This window comes from Homo sapiens, chromosome Y (assembly GCF_000001405.40).
Source record: "Homo sapiens chromosome Y, GRCh38.p14 Primary Assembly".
NCBI lineage: Eukaryota > Metazoa > Chordata > Mammalia > Primates > Hominidae > Homo > Homo sapiens.
Genome location: NC_000024.10, coordinates 21,836,032 through 21,839,669, shown reverse-complemented (window position 1 = coordinate 21,839,669; position 3,638 = coordinate 21,836,032). Strand labels below are relative to the sequence as shown.

The window sequence follows — 3,638 nt, the reverse complement described above, 5'->3', positions numbered from 1 at the left end:
TGAGTTCTGGCAAGTGTCACAAGGAATGTCACTGTTGGCAAGAGACAAGTCCCTGCAGCTTGTGGAGAAAGAGACCTCTGTGGAGGTGCGCTGGTGGACTCTCACCTGTCTTCTCTGTGGGATACATGGAATAATCCCATGATCCTAGGAGAGAAAGATGTGAGTGAGCCTGAAGAAATGTCAAGCAGAGCCCCAGGAATAAACTACAAAATCCCTGTGGATCCAAAATCATCTGCAGGATTCCTTAGGCCTGCCCAGGAGTTCTAGGAGTGAGTCTTTATGAAACTTGCCCCCATGATATTTTTAGTTAGAGCCTGCCTCTGTTCCCTGGGGTTGCTCTCTCCAAGGTGGGGCTTCCTACAGAAACACACAGCCTCAGAAGCTGCCGGGCTGTGTGTTTCTGTGGGAGTGTTATGAGTGTCAGATTTCTGCATGTGTTTGTGTGGTATTGTGTCTTTGTGTGTGTGTGTTCCTGCAAATGGAGTCTGCTTAAAAGAATGTGGCTAACACATTTCAGTGCTTCTTTATTTGAGTCTCTCAACATTTTGATGGCTTGTCTGTGTGGCTTTGCTTTAGTCGCAGGGCTGTGTTCTCTATTTTTCTGTGGATCATGAATCCCCAGTATATTGGGGGGCGGGTCGAGACTTGCCAGCGTCCAAGTCACCTCCCCCTGCAAAACAAACAAACAAGCAAATGAACAAAAAGCACTCTTCTAGAAAGATGAGGAACACACAACACTAGAAAACAGACATCTCCCACTGTTTCATTGTCCTGTGGTCAACCCAATGAGAGACACTAGCAGTCCTTTCCCCAGTAACTCTGAAACTTACCTTGAATTTGGTTCCTAGCTGAGCAGGTGCTTCAGGTCAAAGGGGGCACTCCTCCATCATCTTGAGATTTCATCCTGGGACACAGAGTGTGAGCAGCAATAAGGTCAGATAGGGTTGAGGATACAATCTAGTGAGGAGTGGATGGGTCCCACAATTTCAACTGCAAAAAAAAAAATGAAGACAGATGACACTGAAGTTGCTTCCAAATCCATCCCCCCATTCTGCTAATTGTGCAAGCGGTCCCCATCACGGCCTATTTTTCAGGTGGAAGTAATCCAATGTTCAGGGAGTATTTGGAGTGCAAATTGGGCCCATCCTGACAAACTCCTGATTTATGGCTTTCACACCCATAGCCAAATAGGTTGGAATGGGGATGGAATGGGTTAATGCTGGGAGGGGTGACCTCTTCTTTTCTTGACTTCCAGGTTCCTCGTCAGCCTAGGGTTTCCTGGGTCTTGCACAATGGCTTCCACACTAAATCTTTCCCACTTCTCAGAGAATGACCCTCATGGGAATCCATCACATGAGTGTTTCCTTCTAAACCCTGTCACTTTTTAATGACTGGGCAGCATTGATAATTTAAAACCATAAATTGCCGTGACAGCTGTCAACAAGGAAACTCTTGTTCTTTCACTTCTATCAGAGGGCTTCATGATTCCTGTAGGATGAGAAGCAGACAGCTGTGTTTGGCTTTTACCTGGTAATCTAGACTCTGTTTCACTTTTATTTGCATGGTCTTCTCATTGTTGAGTGGATCTTTCATTGTGTTCTTGCTGAATGGGACTGCCTATCATCACTCATCTTTTGGATGCCAGGAATTTCAGGGAGCAAGAAGGACTTTAGGTAGGCTGGCTATGTTCCAGGTTGTGGCTTGTGTTCTCATTTTGGGGGCTGAATTTATTTGCACTTTGACAGAGGATTTTGGGTCTTTTGACATATACCTTTGAATATTGCTGCGTCTCTGACACTAGTCAGTTCATTCTCTCAGGCAAGCTTTGAGTTTTCTTTGCTTTCATGGGGGGTCCACATTGCCCCTCAACAGCACTGCTGGACACCATTCCAGGCTTGCAATTGTCACAGACAGCCTCTGAGACACTGTCTCAACCTTGTTTGCACCTTTGAGAGGCCAGTTTGAGGTGTGAGAACACTGCTCCAACTTGGACCTACTTTTGTCATGGTTCCAGCCTTTCTCTGGGAGCCCTTATAAGGCCAGGATGAAGGGAGGCAGTGGGCAGTGGGAGGATGAGGTCAAGAGCCCAGCCATCTTTTGCAGACACCCGCCTCTGGGGTCTCAGTTATGATTCCATCACCCAAAAACCCACAGAAACTCACCAGACTATATTCCAATCCCCATGGTGTGACCAGAATTTGTTCCTTCTGGTGGGTTCTTAGTCTTGCTGACTTCAAGAATGAAGCTGTGGACCCTTGGGGTGAGTGTTGTAGTTCTTAAAGATGGTGTGTCCAGAGTTTGTTCCTTCAGATGTTCAGATGTGTCCAGAGTTTCTTCCTTCTGGTGGGTTCATGGTCCCACTTGACATCAGTAGTGAATCCGCAGACCTTCCCAGTGAGTGTTACAGCTCTTAAAGGTGGCGCCTCCAGAGTTGCTTGTTCCTCCTGGTGGGTTCATGGTCTCGCTGACTTCAGGAGTAAAGCCACAGACATTTTCAGTCAGTGTTACAGCTCATAAAAGTAGTGCAGACCCAAAGGCTGAGCAGCAGCAAGATTTATTGTGAAGAGCGAAAGAAGGAACCCTCCACACCATGGGAGGAACCCCCCGGGTTGCCACTGCTAGCTCAGGTGGCCAGCTTTTATTCCCTTATTTGGCCCCACCCACGTTCTGCTGATTGGTCCATTTTACAGAGTGCCGATGGGTCTGTTTTACAGAGTGGTGATTGGTCCATTTTTACAGAGTGCTGATTGGTGTGTTTACAATCATTTAGCTAGAGAGAAAAGTTCTCCAAGTCCCCACTGGACCCAGAAGCCCAGCCAGCTTCTCTCAATAGGACCTGATTCTTAACACACAGCCTCTTTTGGGCAAGGAGTCAGAAAAGCAGTTTCCAGCATCCACCTCATAGTCTCAAAATGTGTCCTGCTGAAGTAAGGCCAGACCATGGAGACAACCGGAGGGAGCTCTAAGGTTGAGACTTTTAGTGTCCCTCAGTGAATTATCACAGTCAGGCTTTTTTCTGATACCAGGCCGGCTCTGCCTGTACTATTTACCTCTGTTTAGGCAGGCAGAAATCTCTGACAGCTGGGCACCCAACCTTGCCTCACGAATTTGCATGTGCTAGTCTCAGGGCAGGAGGCCTGAGCTGTAAGCTCTGGATGGCGTCACAATGAATGCCACCGTTGCCTAGAGACAAGTCCCTGCAGTGTGGCGGAGATGGAAACCTCCATGGAGGTAGGTCGGTGGGAGACTCTCACTTGTCTTCTTTGTGGGATCCTCAGGATAATCCCATGATCCTAGGAGAAGGCTGACGTGAGCCAGCCTGAGGAAACTTCAAGAAGTGCTGCAGGAATTAACCGGGGAATCCCTAAGGGTCCAAAAGGATCTTCAAGATGCCTCAGTTCTACCTAGATGTTGTAGGGGTGAGTCTTTTTGAAAATTGCCCCACTCTGTTTTCTAAGCACAGCCCACATGGGTTCCCCAGGGTTGCTGTCTCCCAAGTGAAGCTTCCTGCAGTACCAGGCAGCCTCAGGAGATGCTGGGCTGTCTTTTTCTGTGAGAGTGTTGTGAGTGTTTGATGTCTGCATGTGCGTGTGGCTTTGTGTATCTCCCTGTGGAAAAGATTGCTAATGTTTCTCCCT

General features: G+C 47.7%; 1 long non-coding RNA gene across 1 annotated transcript; it reads right to left on the bottom strand.

Annotated features, from left to right (window-relative positions):
- Positions 1–511: 511 nt before the first annotated feature.
- Positions 512–3,400, bottom strand: LOC105377237 (uncharacterized). The gene is made up of 3 exons (XR_938662.4): positions 2,163–3,400; positions 831–990; positions 512–670 (listed from the first exon to the last, which is right to left on the bottom strand). It is a non-coding gene; the product is annotated as an uncharacterized LOC105377237 (long non-coding RNA).
- Between the last annotated feature and the right edge of the window lie 238 nt (positions 3,401–3,638).